Source organism: Homo sapiens, chromosome 5 (assembly GCF_000001405.40).
Source record: "Homo sapiens chromosome 5, GRCh38.p14 Primary Assembly".
Lineage (NCBI taxonomy): Eukaryota > Metazoa > Chordata > Mammalia > Primates > Hominidae > Homo > Homo sapiens.
In genome coordinates, this window is record NC_000005.10 from 35711525 (window position 1) to 35732558 (window position 21034).

Sequence of the window (21034 nt, forward strand, 5' to 3'; positions counted from 1 at the left end):
GCACAATAGAATAATACTACCTATACTTCTATTTAGGTTTTTCTTTCTTTCCCTCCCTCTCTCCCTTCTTTCCTTCCTTCCTTACTTCCCTCCCTCCCTCCCTCCCTCGCTATCATCCCCCGTCTTTCTTCCAAATTTAGTGGTCAACTACTTGGATTTTTAAATATCCATTTAGAGAGATTAACAAAGTCACCTGTCTTATTTCTGTGGAATCTTGGTTATCATGTCTGTGATATTTAATGTAAGTGAAATCTGCTAGGCATTTATACATTCTTATAACTATCACTTCTAAATACAAAAAAATAGGTTAAAGGGAGTCTGTCTCCATCACAGGCATTTCAATTGCCATACTGGTTCATCCTTTAAAATGAAGGAGAAAACTATAGCCCAGGACCAGGGAGGAAAATAATTAAAATCATTTGGTAAATAATGCAGGATGTAGTGAATTTTTTTTAAAGGAACAAACTCATTAATTGGGGCATCTCCAGATCATCAGTTTTCCAATTTCTCCCTTCCAATATATTTCTGAACTATATCCCAGGGAATTTAAGATAAATATACTCACATCATTCTTTGTATTACAATTACAGTCAATGAAAAATGTAGAAGTCACAAGGCAACCAAGAGTGTGACCAAGAGAAGTTCAAGGGTGCAACATATCAAAATAATGTGGTTATTTACCTGTTCTTCAAAGTGTTTGGCCATTATTTTTATTTTATTTTATTATTTTATTTATTTATTTATTTAATTTTTAGAGACAGGGTCTCACTATGTTGCCCAGGCCATACTCAAACTCCTGGGCTCAAGCCATCCTCTAGCCTCAACCTCATCAATAGCCGGGACTACAGGTGCATGTCACTGTACCTGGCTTTGGCATCATTTTTATCACAGATACAGTTGTCTTGTTGTATAGGCACATTCAGTTGAAACAAATCCAAATACAGCCATATGCTCCAAATGGATTTGTGATTAACTTTTAAAAATGCCACAGCTAGTTCCATTAAAGAGTTTATGATCAAATCCACTACCAAATGTTTATATTAAAGTTAGGACTAAACATCTCAATGTGACAGAATAATGCTGCTATTAGAGCTATCATTCCAGAAGTTTCAACCCATAGTCTGTCTTCAGGATAATTTTAACTCAAAGTAAAAACCTGAGCCATTTTATGCAGTTCACAAATGTAACTGTTTACCTATGGGAAATAGCATTAGCTTGCTTACAATCATATAGCCCAGGCTATTGAAGTAAATCATCAATGATTTTTGTGTGTCGAATTTTGTTTAGAAGCCCCGCATGGTAAGCAAGAATCTCTTCAGGAAGGAAAAGGGAAGAAAGGTGAGACCGCACTCAAAAGAAAAGGTACAGCAGATAAAAATATATATAATTACATGTAATTCTGCATTTTATAACTATCTCAGTGAAAATAGCTAGATTTGTATAGTAGTATACATTGACCACTTCTCTCAGGCATTTGTAAATCATAAGCCCTTGCCAAAGAATATAGTCGCAAACTTTCTGCATCCTGGCGCTTACCAAAGGCCCTGCTGAGAAAAGTGATGCTTGCAGGGATAATTTAGACAATATCTAATATACAGAATATCCATTTATCAGAGATATTTTAGCTGTTATCCTTGGACTAAGCTGTGCCATCCGAAAGCTACATACTGAATCAAGTTTTCTTGGACCCCTTATTGGATTTCCTTCACTGATAAGCACTTCGGTAAAAAATAAAATAAAAATCTTACATTACCTTAGAACATTTACAAAACTAAGAAAGGAGCCTTGGTACAATACTGTTAACTAAAGCAGAACATTTAATTTTTGCCATCTATTTTTAGTGGAACTCTTGAAGTTTTTGAGACCTGTCTACATTTTTTTGTAATCCTTTAAGCCAGTAATTTATAAACAATTAAAAATATGAACTGGAGCTGGGCGCAGTGGCTCATGCCTGTAATCCCATCAGTTTGGGAGGCTGAGGTGGGCAGATCCTGAGGTCAGGCGATCAAGACCATCCTGGCCAACATGGTGAAACCCCATCTCTACTAAAAAAATACAAAAATTAGCCAGGCATGGTGGCACACACCTGTAGTCCCAGCTACTCAGGAGGCTGAGGCAGGAGAATCCCTTGAATCCGGGAGACACGGAGGCTGCAGTGAGCCAAGACTGCGCCACTGCACTCCAGCCTGGGTGACAGACTCTGTCTCAAAATATATATATATATTTTATATATATTTTATATATAGTATATATATTATATATAGTGTTATATATTTTATATATAGTATATATGTTATATATAGTGTTATATATTTTATATATAGTATATATATTATATATAGTATTATATATTTTATATATAGTATATATGTTATATATAGTATTATATATTTTATATATAGTATATATGTTATATATAGTATTATATATTTTATATATAGTATATATGTTATATATAGTATTATATATTTTATATATAGTATATATGTTATATATAGTATTATATATTTTATATACAGTATATATATTTTATATAGTATATATTTTATATACAGTATATATATTTTAGAATTTGAATTAACAAATGTTTACAGCTTGATGTAAGTTCTTGGTGTAACTACATACTGGCAACGGATTTTAATGGTTTTACTTTGTTCTAAATTGTATCTCATGCAAGGGATTTTAATTCTTATGACTTGTTTGAGTTTCTTCAGAGAATTTTTCAACCATCAAAGAGTAAAGAGAACCTTGCAAATATTTTAGAGAACTTTGAGTTACTTTCCCCACCCCCAACCCCACTCCCTGCTTTTTTAAAGAGTCATAAGTTCCCTGGAAAATTTATGTCATGCATACACCCTCAATAAGTGAACTTTTAAAAGCCTATTTATGAGGGGTGGTGTCCCTTTTACGGTATTTGGATATGTACTCTGTAACTATTTTTTAACAGTCAGGTACTTTTAAGTTATCTATTTGAGCATTAACAGGTTATTTTTATTGATTTTTTTTATTGAAAATTCTTTTGACCTGACATTCGTATTTGGTATTTACTTTGTATTTTTTTTCTTAATATTACAATTACATGGCCTCAGTTCTGAAATGCAAGCTATTAAGTCCAGCTTGTTTTTAGGTTAGGTTGGTTTGTCTTTTGGGTTTATTTTTATTTATTTATTTATTTATTTATTTATTTATTTATTTATTGTCCCTGACTGCTTCCCTACTGCCCAAGTATCTTACAACTTAAATTAATCTGGTGGCATTGCATTGCTTGCCTTTTTCAGTTAATTGTAAATGCCTATGGCTTTATCCATGCGACACTATCTCTAAAATATCAGCCTTGCAAAATTTTCTTCTGCATAACGTTTGATTATGAAACAATAATGTTTGATTTTAAGTTGTTGTTTCTTGTTTTGAAACAGGGTCTCACTCTGTTGCCCAGGCTGGAGTGCAGTAGTGTGATCATGGCTCATTGCAGCCTTGACCTCCTAGGACCAAGCAATCCTCCCACCCTAGCCTCCCGAGTAGCTGGGACAACAGGCATATGCCACCACGCCTGGCTAATTTTTGTATTTTTTTGTAGAGATGGGGTTTCAGCATGTTGCCCAAGCTGGTCTCAAACTCCTGGGCTCAAGCAATCTCCCCGCTTCAGCCTTCCAAAGTGCTGGGATTACAGGCCTGAGCCATCACCCCTGGCCAATTTTAAGTTTTTTATATAATTGTTTATTGTAAAGAATTTTGTTAAGAACAGTTTTTCTGAAGACTTATGTTTTCACTCAAAACTCACTAATGACTTTCCTTATTTTTCTAATTTAGTAGGCCAACTTTAATGTCCATTGAAATGAAATAAAACTTCCAGTTTTAAAAAAAAAAGTCCTCCACAACTTAACATAGCAGTGGAGGTGAAACTTTTATTATACCAATAATAACCTGGTATTATATTTTCTGAAGGAATATTATGCCCACTACATCATTCCGTGGCCCCTATATGAAATCCTAGGTGATAAATTTCGTTCAGAATCAAGGGACAGGAAAATGTCTCTTCCTCTGGGTGATTAGATAATGGGCGCCTCAAAATGAGAGCATTTTCCTTTGTGTTTTGGCTGACTAGAAGTTCAGAAAAAAACTCGTGGCTCAGGTTTAGTATCTGTGCAAGGACCTAGATCTCCATGTCTGCCTTCTAATTCCTCTCCTGATTTTGAACTTCTACTTTAAGTTATATTTTTCCTGACCCTAGTTTCATTTATGTTCTTTTTTCTATTTTACTTTATTTCTGTGAAATAGGGGGATATAATTTCTTTTTTTTTTTTTTTTTGAGACAGAGTCTTGCTCTGTTGGGGGTATAATTTCTAAAGTAATTGATAGCTGGTGAAAGAAAATCCCAGGCTCTAAAAAGCGTATCAGTTAGATTCATATTGAAGGTGCTGTAGCAATAAATTAACTAAAGATTGAAATGCAGTATGCATGCATGCAATTTACTTCTTCCAGGTTCATTCAAGGGGCATTGTCATGAAGTATGTGTCTTTTTTAAACTGTTCATCACAAATTGCCAGTGCTGTTGCAGTCCAAGAGTGTGTACTGTTCAAAACATAACATGCTAAAATCGATGTTTGGACATTCTCAAATGTCCAAACATTTTTGAGAATCATAACCATGATTCTCAAAGAGAATCTCACCCTTCTCTAATTATATGATATGTTGGGTTTGTATAACTAGAGCTAATTGGTGAGTTAACACTGAGATAAAAGTTTTAGTTAAAATTTTAAGGGCTATAATTTATGCTCAGCTCTCACTTGTTTACTAATAGAATAATTTTCATATTTTACATTACTCATCCCTTTTTTCTCATCAGGATCAAAAAAGCAAATGAAGCATCATTATAGAACCATCGAAAATAGAAATTAAAAAGACATGTATATTAGGTACCAAAGCATCAAATTAGACATAATTAACACATGCTCTAAGAGCATCCTTAATAAAAGCATACGGACTCCAAACAATTCATAAGCAAACACAAGTTCAACAGCAAAATATATACATTGGAGCCATGTAGTTAGCTCAAATTAACTACAAAGACTTCCAAATATTTTTTGCTTTTATTTTACTATTATATTGCATTAAATAATATTTGAAATATGTGAACTCTCAAGATTTAGACATCTTTATGTTACATATAAATCATGTGGTTTTGGACTTCCTTCATGTGAAAGAAATGATTTTATTTCTTAATATTTCAAATTAACTCCATTGCAGGTGAACACCATTAATTGTTCATCTGTTTATTTGATACCAATTATATTTAAAGAGCCTCTTAGTTGAGGAACCATCTATTTTTTCCTTTCTTCAAACTTATTAATTCCTGCTGTCGATGTCTTTGATTCATTTATATTCTTCTCTGCATATTAGATCAATCTCTACCCTTCTCCCTCCCAAGTCTTGACACTGAGATGCCATTAACAATGGTACTTAGAGTGTTCTTAAAAAAGATTTCACCTCCTCTTGAACCCATTTGCCACTGTCCCATTATGTTTCTTCATTAAACAATGGCTTTTCAAACATATAGCCTTACCCAGGAGAGATGTTAATTAGGAGCCAAATTTAGAAAGTTTTCAATAATCAACTAAATTCAGAAAATGCCAAGTTACATCAAGTTAAAATGTTTTTAATTACAGGATTTTTTTTTTCTATAACAATGTGCATTTCAAAGGGAGCAGGAGACACCATATGTAAGATCCCAGGGCATTTTGGCTGCAGAATTCTTCTCCCTTGGAGGAATATCTGTTGGGACCAGAGTTCTCTGGAACAAACACTTGGAAATCATGCCATCTTTAGTTCCGATGCTTTGCCACATGTATTAGTGTTAGTATTGTTCCAGTGCTTGCCTTCTGATTTGTCTTACAGGGTCAATTATTGTAGGTGCTACCAAGCCACTTAAAATAATAAATTTAGTATCAATGTTATAAGCATTAATGTCACAGGACTTTTCCTTAGTTCAGCTAAAGACGGGGTTCTTGTCCATCCCATGGCCATGAAAATTTAGGCTCACAGACGGCTTAAAGGGTGAGTAAAACAGGGTTTTATTGGGTGAAAAGGGAAAAAAAGAGGAAAACGGACTCTCGCAAGGCCAGAGTCCCTCTACTAGAGCCCTTCCTGCCTGGCAGTTTGAATCCCAGTTTCCACACAGGAAAAGGAGGGGCTAGGCTCCTCCCCACCGCAAATGATGTGAACTTCCCAAGGCTCCACCTTAGTGGGCAGGCTGGTTGGAGTTTCTCCAGGGACCCCCTGCCACCTGGTTGTCTCATTACCCTCTCTAAAGAAGTACATCTATCTAACTGTTGTTAGATTAAGGATAAGGACGAAGACCGATCTTAACGCTTCCTGCTGACAGGGGGCGCTGTTTTGGGGAAATGGCAGTCAGAGCTCCCTCAGAGGCCTATTTAAGGGTTCCCAGTAGAAGGGGCCATTGTCAGAGGCTCCAGTTTCATGGCTGTTTATAGTTTGATGGCCTGAAGGCAAGAGCAGACAAATGGAGTTATTAGAAAACATGTATTAAAACAAAACAAGGGGAGGGATAAGGACAGCTCAAGAATTCTGAGGCCTTTTACCAGTTTGCACAGGGAGAGGTAGGCCAAAACCCCAACTGGTTAAAAAAACTCTACTCTTTTGCTGGCATGTCAGGCTTCTGGGTTCCCTTCCCCTGAGCCCAATCCTAAGCCAACCAGTTTAAGGCTTGGGAAATAAACTCTTTCAAGTTTGGAGGATGCATCTGAGGGGAGTGTCCCATAGTACGGAGATGCAATTACCTATCTGTGAAGAGAGGACAGAGGAGGAGAAAGAAAAAAGTAGCACCTTTTAAAGGAGTCCCAGGGGGTCAGGATGCATTTGAAAGGGATACAGAGTGAAGATGAATGACCACCCATCTAGAAAGAGGGGAGCAGGCATCCCTGGTTCCCGTTTCTTCCTAGCAAATAACCAGGGTACATGAAGGAGAGGGAAGTGTGTCTACTTTCCCTCTTCCATACTTGCATCTGAGCGATTTTGGCAGGTCCCACCATGAGTGCCAAAGCACCTTGCACCCATGAAGCAGGGAGGGCCTAGAGAATAGGAATTATCTCCTCTTACCCATGTATGCCTTATCTCCCCTGCTGTCAGTAGCCTTGGAGTTTCCTAGATATCATTTATGTCATGGACACTAACGTGACCTTTATCCATGAAACAGGAAGCTTGGGGTTGGCTTAATCGGCAGGAATCAGCCACTCTCAGTTTTGCTGTGCCTTTTAACCTCTGTTGTCATTTGCCCCTGAATCCCCTAGATCCAATTTTCCTGCCTAGGGCTTTGACCCAAAGCTTGGAATTGAGTTTGGGACAAAAATGTGTCTCAGGGAGTTACATGGACTCCTTATCATAAGCTGAATTTTAAGGTGAGAGGAGAGGAAAGAATGTCTTGTGACACACCCAGATAACTGGTAGCTATAGTTATGCTTACTAAGATTTGGGTGCATGATGCTTGGCTTTGGTTAGCTGCCTTGGTCTTACTTTCCCAAAAAGGAAACCTCCGAGTCATGGGCATCCTATTTATTCCCATCACCTCAGAGGATTTGCAGGATAATTGCTTAGAACTAGAATATCGATCCAGATTTTTACATTACTCATCCCTTTTGTTCTTTTTGACCTGGAGCCAGAAATTGCTGGTTGGTTCACAGAAGCAAGCAGGGTTAGTCTAAAATATAGGGGAAAACTTAAAAACAACTAATGACTTGAGAATTTAACGACAAATGTGTAAGTTTTGAAACATGATTTCTCTCTCTCCCATCTTCATTTTTGTTAAAAAATCATCACAGGACTGAATGGTTTGCAAAATAGATTTTAGTCTTATACTTGGCCTGATTATTTGCATAAAGTGCAGCAAGAATAATTATTTCTGTGTAGGCCTTTTGGATTGGTTTTGATGGAAGTCTGTTCCACAAGGAATCTCAGATAAGACCTTTTAAAGCCAAGCCCAACCATGGGTTTGTATCCTCAAATACCTGTGAGGTGGGTGGCCCTCTTCTCTTATGGTCCCAAGATAAAGTTGGAGCTCCTGAACCTGTTAGAAAGTGGCATTAGTGACTTTTTTTTTTTGAGATGGAGTCTAGCTCTGTCACCTAGGTTGGGGTGCAGTAGCGTGATCTTGGCTCACTGCAAGCTCCACCTCCCAGGCTCAAGCGATTCTCCTGCCTCAGCCTCCCGAGTAGCTGGGATTATAAGCACATGCCACCACACCCAGCTAATTTTTGTATTTTTAATAGAGACAGGGTTTCACTGTGTTGGCCAGGCTGGTCTGGAACCACTGACCTCATGGTCCACCCATCTCGGCTTCCCAAAGTGCTGGGATTACAAGTGTGAGCCACTGCACCCAGCCAGAGAGTGACATTCTTTACTGACCACAGGTCAGGAACCCTGTACAAGGACTGCGTAGACGAAGGTATGAGCCTTTTATTGGCTCTGCAAGTAGAGATTTACTCCTTAAAGGGAAGCATACCCTTCCAGTCAAAGCCTAGGTAAAATAACCACTTTCTCCAATTGTGTCCTGTTGCAAAAGAAAAATGGATTTTTATTGCACTAATGCAAACAACTATATTTCCATAAGAATACTCATAGATAGGTTCTAAATTCTGGAGGAACCAGGCAGAGAGAAACAAACATGCTCCAAATTTTGATCATAGGAGTATACCTTGCTTACTCCTTAATTATTAAAGGCCATAAATAGTCAAAATAAGTTTCCTTGACTCTGAAAAACAAAATAAGGATCAGCAATATTCCAAGCAAAGTCAAAAAGTTTGCTTCAGCTTTCTGAGTTCAGTCCATTTAGTTCTTGCTTCACTTGATATTTATGAACATTTCAGCTATTCATGAGTCCTGTATGTTTTTTTATTCCAGTGTCACAATCTCCAAAGTTATCAGAAACCTGTGTTTGAGAGCATCTGTTAAAATTCTATAGCTCATTATAAACTATCTTTGAAAAGGATTAAAACAAGACAACAATTGTCTGTGGATAGCAAAATGTCCAGGGTAGTTACAGTTAGAAACATGATTGACAAAGAAGTTTGGTTTTCTCCACGGTTTTCAATAACTTAACATAACAACCTTAATTATGATTGATAGCATATACTTAGACATTAGAATTTTAGAAATTTTATACAGTTTTGGAACATATATTAGCATTATTCATCAAGATATAACCTAAAGAAGATTGAGCATCATTTTGGCAATCCCACGTACCTAAACCTGTCAAACAATCCTGTTTACCTCTCTTTTCTGGACACTTCAGGGGCCCTCTGAAGTATTCAAAAAGCCAGGTGCCAGTGAAGATAATTTTGATACTGAAGTTTGATTTTGGGAAGCCTTTTAAATATGTTTAAAGCACTTGATATTATTGAATAGAATTCCAGATTACCATAAACTATTTATTTTGCCAAAATGATGACTCAGAAATTTTAAAGAAGCAAAAACCTTTTATATCCCTTTACAAATTTTGCCAAAGAGCAGATTAGTGCCTTAGGAAAACCTTGTTATGCTTTTATTTCAGTGTTCAATTTACAGGAAAACCATATAATACCCTTTTTGGAATTTAGTTAATATGTTCACACAGAGAACCTTTTCTGCAAGATTAATTTCCACAATTATTCTACCACTTCTTTGAACCTTCAGCTTTTTCCTAATTTCACTCAATACAATCCTATAACCCTAGGCAAAGGTTTACATTTCCATGCCTTCTTATAACTGTTTACTAAAACACACATTTTACTGTTCTTACACATCTTGCATGTAAATCTATTTCTAGTAGTTTCAGTTAACTCCTATCAATTTTAACTTTAAGGTAAAGCTTGGTGAGTTGCTTTAATTGTGGGCTAAGTGTAGCCAAGGTTTGCCTTCTTAATTAAGGGTGTGGTTAGTTCCATATGTGCCCAGACCTTACCAATTGTGAAGCCGCATGTCAAATAGTTCTCAAAACCCAAAAAGCAGTCTGTAACCTTAAAACACTTAGCAAACCTTGCATCTGACCTGGATTTTACCAATAGTCTTTAGGGCTGTTTTTACTTCTTAAAGATTAAAGTCACGTGAAGTGAAAGGTACCACAGCTTTTAACTTGCCTTAAAAAAAGTATTTGATCCAAGTGCTTGTCTTTCTTTAGGCCGAATTAGTTAGAGATCTTTTCACAGACATCACACACAGTACATACATAGACAGGCAGAAGAAAATCCAGTTGCTGGGTGGGGTCCTTTAAGAGACAGAGTTAGGAAAACATGCAGACATTGAACCAGAGAGGGCTCATCCCCTAACACAGTATTGCTAAACAAAGCCTTGCCAAGTGGTTATGCCCCTAGGATGTAAAGCAAGATGGAGGCTTGCAGCACAAACCATACGGACATGAAAAGCACACAAGATTGGCCACAGCCCAAGACTAGCCCCACAAATCCTTTTTCAGAATTAAAGCTTTACAGAAAATATGAACAGTATTAGTTGAGGGCCTGGCCTAGTAAAGGGGGGTAAAAACTTTAAAGGTTAACTGCTGACAGGGTGGAGAAGAGGAAAGAAAAAAAAAAACAGTTTAAAAATGTCTGGGAAAGAACCTCTTACTCTTATGCAAGTTGTTCCTCCACCAGGGAGATGTGTTCAATTACTGTCCAATGGAGTAAAACCCTTTGGCTGGGGAAGGGGAAGGCTGTGGTGGCTTGTGGCTGGGAACCAGCCATCCAGCTGGTCAGGACCCTGGGACCATGCGTCCCAGCCCTGGCATGGGGCAGGGAGCATCGGGGAGCTGATGCTCACCCATCTATCCAGTAGAAAAAACGAAAAGGCCATGAAAAGACATGGGATTCATGGGGGTTGGGGACTTGGTTTCCCCCACCCTCAGAAGTCCAAGGATGAAAAGTCTTAGAAGCAACAGTGAGAGGTTTTTTTTTGTTTTTTTTTTCAAGGTTTTTTTTCTTTTATTATTATACTTTAAGTTTTAGGGTACATGTGCACATTATGCAGGTTAGTTACATATGTATACATGTGCCATGCTGGTGCGCTGCACCCACTAAACTCGTCGTCTAGCATTAGGTATATCTCCCAATGCTATCCCTCCCCCCTCCCCCCACCCCACAACAGTCCCCAGAGTGTGACGTTCCCCTTCCTGTGTCCACGTGATCTCATTGTTCAATTCCCACCTATGAGTGAGAATATGCGGTGTTTGGTTTTTTGTTCTTGCGATAGTTTACTGAGAATGATGATTTCCAATTTCATCCATGTCCCTACAAAGGACATGAACTCATCATTTTTTATGGCTGCATAGTATTCCATGGTTTTGAGTCCCCATTTCACTCACTGCTTCTCAAGTCCCATGTTGGGTGCCAAAAATGTTGCAAGACTTTTCCTTAGTTCAGCTAAAATGGGGTTCTTGTCTGCCCACAGCCATCAAAATTTAGGCTCACAGATGGTTTAAAGGGTGAGTAAAGCAGGGTTTTATTGGGTTAAAACGGAAAAAAGAGGGAAACAGGAACTCTTGCAAGGCCAGGCAGTTTGAATCCCAGGTTCCACACAGGAAAAAGAGGGGCCAGGCTCCTCCCCACACAAATGGCATGAACTTCCCAAGGCTTCACCCCAGTGAGCAGGCTGGTCCAGGGACCCCCTCCCACCTGGCTGTCTCATTAATGCCATTTAATTTGAAGGATCTGGAAGAACAGAGGAAAAAAGACAAAAGTGAAAGGAAATTGAAATAACTAGATCATCTATGAGAGCAGAGGCTCTTCAAGTATGGTTTTGGGACCAGCAGCATCTGCATCTGCATCACCTGGAAACTTGTTAGAAATATAGATACTCAGCCCCACCCGAGACCTACTAAATCTGAAATTCCAGGAGTGGGGACCAGCAGTTTTGTGTTTTAACGAGCCCACTAGAGGATCCTGATGATCACTAACATTTGAGAACTACTTTACTGGAGCCCAAGGCTGACTGCTCTATTGTAGCCACTGGAAAATCAGAAACATTCAATGATTTCTGGTGTATTATTTATAATATACCTCTTCCTCCAAATATTTAAGTTAAATTACAATAAAAAACATGTTTATAATAATGCTGTTGAAATAGAAATAAAAATCCAAAGCCCTGAAATGAGGAAATTAGCACATTCAGCTCAAAGACACAATGCTTATTGTGATGACTCCTTAATCAGAACAACCTGACAAGGTGATGGAGGAAGTATGATGGGTTTAAATTTTAACAGGATTAATTTCTAAAATAGATTTTTATCACCTGAGACCTTTAACAGAGGACAGTATGTGGCACAATATGCAAGGTCGTCATAGATTTATAGCAAATGCAAAATACATTGGGTTTCATTGGAAGGTTGATGCCACACATACAAAAGCTGGCAATTAATTTATGATTGATCACGGTTCTGGTAGCGAAATTCAACCATAGTCTTCTTTTATAATACAATTTATAAGCATAATAACAAACTACCTCTTATAAAGTACCTTTTATGTACCAGGCACTACACAAGATGATTTACATATATAATCTCATTAAGTTCTCACAATCATCTATGAAGTAGAAATTATCATTTTACCATGTCAAAGATGAGGAAATTGAGAGTCAAAATGAATAAAGAAGTGTTTTGTTAAGAACTGTTAACCTATGAGAAGAAAACAAAAAGCCTCTTCACTCTTTGGAGAATATTATCTACCCTCCCACATTAATTTGCACACTAAATTGCTCATAACTTCCCTGACTTTTGCCTCAATAATGTTACAATTGTTTAAATAAATTAAATAAATAATATTTCTGCTCTTAAGTACGAGTCTCTTAATGAATCTGTTTATCAGACTGAAGTTTAAAAAATTTTACCAGAAATTTTCCAAAAAGAAAATTGGTATGCAATATAAATAAAAATAATCTTAAAATCAATGAGCCAAGTAAATAGTAGTATAAGAACTTCTCTGAGTTTGCAAACTTCTAAGTATGAATCAAAAGAACATTTATCAATATGAACTACATCAATAGACACTAAAAGGCAATGAAGTATGACAATCAAAAGCATGGAGTCTACAGCCAGCCCGCCTAGACTGAAATTCTAGCTCTGCCATTTACCATATATGGGTTACCTCTGGCAAGTTACTGTACCTTAATATGCCTCAATTTCCTCATCTGTGAAATGGAGTAATAGGAGTATCTACTCATGTGGCTATTATAAAGAATAAGTACATGTGCAAAAAAGTAAATAGTACAGGGTCTGGCTCAGAATAAACTGTAAATAAATATGGAGTATTATTATTGGCCCCAGACCAAGTTACTAAAGACAGAGGGCAGAAAGGGGAATCCTTTGCAAAGCTGACCTGGAGAGTTCCCTCTTGTTATTGATTATAAAGGTGCTAAAATTAGGTTTTATAAGCAACCCCAGATAACCAGTCTCATTACTTTGTAGTTGTCCACATTCTGTATCTCCAGCTCTACGCAGAGTAACAGCATAAATTTTAGGACAGTAAGCAGAGAAAGCTTTCCCTCCATGAGCTTTTTCAGAATAGTTTTTCAACCGTGAGTTCTGAGAACACATGTTCAGTCTCTGGCTCCTTGCCTAACACCGGACCTCTTCTCTTCCTGGTCATGTTGCTTCAGTCTGGTCCATTTCTGAGCTAAAATTTTCATCTTATTTAAGACACTCTAAATCTCCACTTTGATTGCCATTGTTGGCAGCCCAGGCAGCCATTAGCACTGTTAACAAAAAGTTGTTCTTTGCTGAACATGGTTGACCCCCAAGGCAATAAGAAAGCTATCACTGTTAACTGATCTGGTTTCTATCTAGTGAAGCTGTTAATTAATTTAAGTCCTAGAGGATATATTTTGCAACAGAAAGGTAAAAATAATGCCTTTCTTAAAAGAAAACAACAACAACAACAACAACAAACACATAAAGCAGACTTTCCCTATCTTTTCCTCCCTCCTACAATTCTAACCTCCCAATCCTTTCACCTCCCTGAGGAAGGCCAATTTAATTTGAAAGTGTCTGGTTTTCCTAATGTCCTCTCATCAATTGATCCTCTTATCTTAGAATTAACTGTTTACTTTCTTAGTTGTAAATTTTGGTTCCAGCTCTTGACTTTTAATTACTCAGACCTTCACTGAGTTCCTATTATTATCTCTTTGCTCAAATCTACTGCTGTGTCACTTTGTCTTTGATTATTTCTTTATTTATACATTGATTTTTAAAATCCAGTGTTCTAAAACTGAATTTCTCTTTTTACTGCATTTTATTTTTATTTATACTCATTGCAGTGCCATGGGTTTCTGTGTGATACTATCAGGTTCTTACAACAAAAAAAATTGGTAATATGTACCTTCACCATATGCTAATCCATAGATTATTTTCCAAACTTTTCATCCATGAGCATGAGGAATAGTTACACTGAGGACTCAATGATCCAACTCTACAAGTGAAAGCAAACATCTTATTAGAAAATGAAGCCTTCATATGGTTGCATGGATGGTACTTAAAAAGTAATGCAGCTTGTTACATTTAAGATGTTGATAAAGATTTTGTTCAAAAGTGAATATTCACTAACGCATAGATACATTTTTATTCATTCAAATATTTTGCCCTTCAGTATTTTCATTGTTAAAAGTTACACAAAAGTTGTATGGAATCAAAGCACAATAGTCCAGAAATATTCCGACTCTCTCAGTTTTCACTGAACGATCATGATATTTAAGAAAAGAAAAAGAAACTCATTCCAGTCTCTAATTTATCATTACAAAGTTCTTCTTCTTAGGAATTTTGCTTAGATAAATTCATTTTAAATTGATCATAGAGTTATCATTTGTACTTCACCAGAGATTCAGGTCAAAGGAAAATCATTATTTAGAAAAACATATCAAATTGTGAAAATTGTCAGTTACTGCCTAAACAAAGACTTTCTTAAATTTTTCTAAATTTTATATAATTTAGATATAACTTCAGATCTATAGATAATAGATACTGTTTTTAAATATATAAGTAGAGATCACCTAAACTGCCCACAAGATATAATTAACAATTTCTCCTCTACTTATAATCTACTTATTTTTAACTAACATAAAAGCGGAAGATGTATTTGCTTTTCTAAACAGCATTATCATTAAATAATACTCATTAAAGATATATTTTGGAGGAAGAAAGTGCTCCTGGTTCTACAGGTGTCTGTAAACTGCATCTAAAAATTTCAATAATTAATCTAAAGGTAAGTGGAATTTTAAACGGAGTGAATTTCCAAACTGTAATAACTTGATCTTTTCAGGGAATATTAGTGCTCTCTGAGTTAAGGACCAAGGTTGTTCATACCATAGGGCGCCACTTAACAGATCTAGATTCCCCTCTTGATGTTATCAGGGAAAGTGAAGTGAATGTCCTTTTCGGATTCTGAATTGAAAATTAGACCTCCTCTTTCTCGTTTTCTTCCCAAGCACCCCCCCCCTTTCCTCCCCTCCCCTCCCCTTCCTTTGCTTCCCTTTCTTTTCCTTTTGCTTTCTCTCATGACTTGATTCTGCCAGGCTTATGCCACAGCAACTACCTTCATCTTTATTCCCTAACTGTAGCAAGAAATATAATTTCCCCACAGAAACGCTGTGTCATGTGCAGAGAATGTTCAGGGGCTTCAACAGCCCCTCTTCTCCTCCCCTGCATCCCTCACCTACTCCAGCTGACTCTTATAACATCCTCCTTTCTCTCTGCCCTCTAACCTGGTCTCCAAGGGATACCAAGAGCACCACTCATGTTCTAGCTACCTTCTTTCTCATTCAAGGTGGAGAGTTTAATTTGCCAGTTTTTGAAATAGTAAGTGGAATACAGTTTGTTCTAGAGTCTAAACTTTATAAAAGTCACATGTTCATTCTGAAAGCAAGGACAGATGAAAATAAAATATCAAATATATTAGCCACTTGGATAGGTTGGATTGCTTTAAAACATTTACTATTATTAATATTATTGGTTAATTTGGGGGCTGTGGAGAATAAGGATTTTTTGTAAGACTCCTCAAAAAAGCTTAAAAAGTAGTTAATGAATCACCTGAAGTCCATGGTAATTATAGATGTATTCATCTACCAGAATTCTGTCCCATTCATTTACTTGTATTGGAATAATTTGATATGCATGTTTAAGGTTCTCCTAAAGGAAAATCATCAGGAGGAAAAGTACCAGTAAAGAAATCACCTGCTGACTCTACAGATACATCACCTGTTGCAATAGTGCCACAGCCACCTAAGCCAGGATCAGAAGAATGGGTCTATGTGAATGAACCAGTTCCTGAGGTATGGCCATTTAGAATCAAGCTGGCAGAATTCATTCTTTCTCCTGCATATAGTAAGATTCACACTGTCATTTGCAACATCCTGAAGGCCTTTTACAGCAGGTAATATATATCTATCCATCTGAGATTTTTTTTAGAGACTACTCAATGACCCATATCTCATCCTTTCTCCTACTTGAGTTTCTGAGTCATGCTTTGAACTGCTATTGAGTGCTAAAATGGGGGGAACAAATGGGTTCTGTGAGGAACAATTTTCTTCTCAAGAACACACAGAGATGCAGATTCCTGGAAGAATGACTTCCCCAGAACACATATCCAGCAAATTTCTAGCCTTCTATTCATATTTTAATATCCCCATCACAATGCTTTTAAGTGAAGTTTAACCTTTGACTTTTTAGAAGTAGAAGAATATTTTTGAAGCTAACTAAACCCATGAAAGAACAGACAGCTATCTGACCTGGGAACGTTAATGGGTATGCTGGTGTAAGGCAAGGAGATGTCCCAGAGGAGCGCTGAAAGCTCCGCCTAGCTCAACTCGCAAGGCCCAGTTGCCATCTACTATTTTTAGTTGGCTTGACAGATGAATTCTCAGAAAGTCCACAGAATGGTCCTTCCTTTGAAACTTTTTAAACAGCAAAGAGCTTTTTAAAAGACAAGGTCTCCTTCTCCCTCATTCCAGTCCGCAATGATCTCTTATTCTGATGAACTCAGTAGCAACCATCTGTGCCAGGCATTTGAGACCCAATTATGAAATGCAACAATTGTGGTGTTGCTGTTATTATTGAGCTTTCCTAGGGATATGTCTTCTCTCCCAATTAAATTATAAACTCTTTGGCGAGGGTAGGAACATGGAATAATTCAATGTATTCAACACAAACACAGTAGAGAGTATGTAACAGATTCTTGATAGGTTTCTAATTGATTAATTAGCATTGAGAGTGAAATTAGAACAGAAAATATTTAAAATTGAGAGCATTAAGTGATATAATTATGGAGGTATGTAATTGACCTCACTCAGCCAAACAGAAGCTACTTTAATATATATACTAATATTAATATATATGTAGGTTCAAAAACTTACCATAGAAGCAAGATATAGAAGTGGGTGTTAGGAATAAGATAAAATTAAAATGATACAATATGGTAAGTGATGGGGAATGTGGGGCAAAAACACCTAAATTCATTCTTTAACTCCAAAACTTGAAGCCCTTGTAAGAAATAAATCTATAGAGGACAAGAGAGAAATAAAAAACAGGACTTTTTTTAAAACAAAATTAACATTGAAATATGGCACCAGCTCCATGTAGATCTTCCAGCATTCGGGATTCTATAGAAAACATGATAATTTGAGGAGAGTAGAATAAAAGACTATTTACACATGTGAAGGCAATAAGTATGGCAACCTACAAGGATTAGATTATTCCCTCCCCTCCAACAAGGGACAGCTGGGGGTCACTATGGCCCCTAGGCTGAGGAGGTGCAGAAAGGAAGTAGATCCTTGGGCCTCAAGAGAACTTCTGCACTTAGAGGGCCATCTGACAAGAGCTGTGGCCTTCCCCAGAGGGATGCAGTGCGACCCTGCAAACAGGAGCAGAAAAATACTCTGGCCAAGAAGATGGAGGGCGAGGGAGTTTCCTGAAGTACTTACGTACATTAGCCTCCCCAGGCACTAAGCAAGATGAAGGAAACTGGTGTGAAGGGACATGGAAGATGTGCAACACAGACCTCTCATTTCCTATGTAAGGCCAGGTAGCAAACACCTTTTGCTACAGCAAAACATGCCCAGTCTAGTTCGTTTCCACTCTGGACTCCCCACACGTGAACTGCCGAGTTTACCTGCTGATATGGTTTTGCTGTGTCCCTACCCAAATCTCAACTTGAATTGTGTCTCCCAGAATTCCTACGTGTTGTGGGAGAGACTCAGGGGAGATAATTGAATCATAGGGGCCAGTCTTTACCATGCTGTTCTCGTGATAGTGAACAAGTCTCACGAGATCTGATGGGCTTAACAGGGGTTTCCGCTTTTGCTTCTTCCTCATTTTCTCTTGCCGCTGCCACGTAAGAAGTGTCTTTCACCTCATACCATGATTCTGAGGCCTCCCCAGCCATGTGGAACTGTAAGTCCAATTAAACCTTTTTCTTCCCAGTCTCAAGTATGCCTTTATCAGCTGCATGAAAACGGACTAATACACCTGCCAAGGAAGGGGAAGACAGATGCCCAGTTCAACTTGGATTTCAGTTAAACAAATTTAACTGAGAATCCTGTACTTTATCTGGTAACCCTGTTTCCAGACCTTCTAAGGGCCCCAGGTAAACCTTACTTCAACAGACAAATGATGGGAGAGAGATTGAAAAGAGAGGCTGCTTCCATATAGCATTCAGGTAGCAGCCAAATGTGAGGAGATCCTGGGATCTCTTCCTTTTGCCAGCCACAAGAGAAGGTGCAGAGAGAACGCAGAAGGCAGTTAGAGTGAGAGGTCTTTGCTTCCAGCCTGTAGAGTCACAAGAGCAGCCTCCCAAGACCAGGACTCCACGAAAAGAGGCAGCCATGCCTCGGGCCATGTGGCCCATGTAGTGCCCTCACTCACATTCAACCAACCTGTAGCAGCACTCCTCCCTGAAACTGGGCCCAGGGGCCACAGGGCCATGTGTGCTGAGTTTGGAAACCTGTCCTCCTTCAGGAGGCTGACAGACATAGGACTCTACGGCCAAAAGTATAACTCAGATTAAAGCATAGCTTTTGATCAATTCTCTACTGGCCTTGCTGACAATTTCAACGTTCAAAATATAGAGGGGGCTATGGAGGACTTCTGCTTCGAATTTAGTACTGACCAACAAACATGGACAGTTAGGTAAATGGAAATGATCAATCATTTAGGAGAAAGTACTAATAAAGGAGGTGTAATAGTAAAGGAAGGATCTGGCAGAACATAAGAAACATGTGCCCTAGTTATCAGGAAAGCATATTTCAAACCTATAGTGAAATCATAATTGGCCTCTAAACAGGAATAAGGCTCTAAGAGAAATGGATGGGCTCAAATCAGAAGAAAATTTGCCCTTAAAATCCCGATTATGTACCAAAGAAACTAATGTGATCCCAGGGCATTTTACAGGGGAGAAGAGCAGTAGGCGGGGGATACTCAAAAAATTAGAGAAAATTATGAAAGGATAGGAATTTAGTGAGTGTCTAGCCCATCGTAGGCACTTGAACATTGAAAGAATACAGTCAAGGGTATGTGTATATGTCTCTGCCAAAATGCCAAAAATGAAAAGATTTGTAGTTACATTGTCTAAGAAGATAATAGAAGACTGAAAATGGAAACCCAGCTTGGGTAACCTGAAATCATCTTAAATGAGAAAAGAAATGAAGTCAAATTAATCAATGGTAGTAATAAGGTTTTGTGAGTCCTAAAGACTTGGTGGACCCTCTTTAAGAAAAAAAGCACAAAATTGCAAATACAGAATCAGTCATGAAGTCAATATTTATTTAGAACTGATTTGTATTCAGTTAAGAAATATTTTTATAACTGGAAGAAACAGACAAGCACACAAACACTTTTTAGGTGCCCAGTACCCCTCTATTATTCTTTATCTTTGCAGGTCTTTACATATGACAATGATTTTGTAAGCTCATTTTCCTATAGAGAGAACAGAAAGATAATTGAGGCTTCCCTCTAGCAAGCTTCATTGGATTTTTTAGTATTGATAGTTAGAACATTTTCTTTTAGCTTCATAACTCATTATGGAAGGAAATGTGACAGAGAGGAAGTCAAATTGGAAAAAGACAGAAGACCTGACCAGTGGTACTTGAAGATGAATCTGTTGCTTGTGTGAGCAAATTACTAGGCTCCTCTCAGGAACTTGGATGATGCCTGTGTAAAGTGAGGGTCTCTGAAACTTCAGAGAATACTGCCTTGGCTACTGAATTCCTACTATGATTTTGTGTTCCCTAACAAAGGGAAAACTATTTAATTGCAAAGTACAGCTCTGAGCACCTCATTACATCTGTAAGTTCAAGTTCCAAGACCAGAAAAATTACATCTCAGGGGCTGGAAGAACCTACAGATATTACATTATCCATGACTCACAGAAATCACAGAGGGTACAGGGGATTCCAGAAAACTAGATGCAGGCAAATGCCTAAATACTTAAGAAAAGGCAGTGGGACTTAGTAACATACAGACCAATAATTTATACATTAATTATTGTTGTAATTTAAGAGCAAATTATTAAACACATTACTTTTGAGCACTTATAAAGATGATCATTTGGAGCCTGCACAGCAAGAATAAGTCTTGTTGAGCTGACCCATTCCTGCTCTAGCCTTGAGAGCAAGGCTGGATATGGGGATCAGGGAGTACCATAGATGTAGTATCTCTTGAGTTCAAAATAGTATTTGACAATTTCTTCATGAAATCATTGTAGAGAAATGAGGGCTGTGAGCAGGATATTAATTCAGTTCGACCCATTCTTAGGAGGCAACTCTTCATGCACACAGTGTTGATTAATGGATTGAAGTTGACCAGGAGGGAGGTTTAGTGGTGTGCTTTTTAAAAATGGTCTTTAGCACCACTATGGATATCACTTTTTTTAAGAGAGATTATGACAAACTAGAAACCAGAGAGAGAAGTAGGTCAGGAAAGGGTGTTGAAATAATGTTAGAGGGGCATTAAAAGAACTGTAAATGTTTAATTTAGATACATGAACCCTTAAGGTACGGTTAGACATACGATCTT

The 21034-nt window shown here is 37.7% G+C and overlaps 1 protein-coding gene across 18 annotated transcripts in view; it reads left to right on the forward strand.

Annotated features, from left to right (window-relative positions):
- The window catches only part of SPEF2 (sperm flagellar 2), a 196749-nt gene that overhangs the window by 93662 nt on the left and 82053 nt on the right, over positions 1-21034 (forward strand). For 14 of the 18 annotated variants that reach the window (XR_925655.3, XM_011514136.4, NM_024867.4 and 11 more), the window contains 2 exons: positions 1288-1362; positions 16151-16299. Coding sequence is in view for 17 of the 18 variants with exons in the window: in XM_011514136.4 (XP_011512438.1) it covers positions 1288-1362; positions 16151-16299 (224 nt within the window). In the remaining variant the exon portion in view is untranslated. The remainder of the gene's footprint in view (positions 1-1287; positions 1363-16150; positions 16300-21034) is intronic. The other 4 variants (XM_047417767.1, XM_024446219.2, XM_011514139.4 and 1 more) reach the window with 2 other exon arrangements.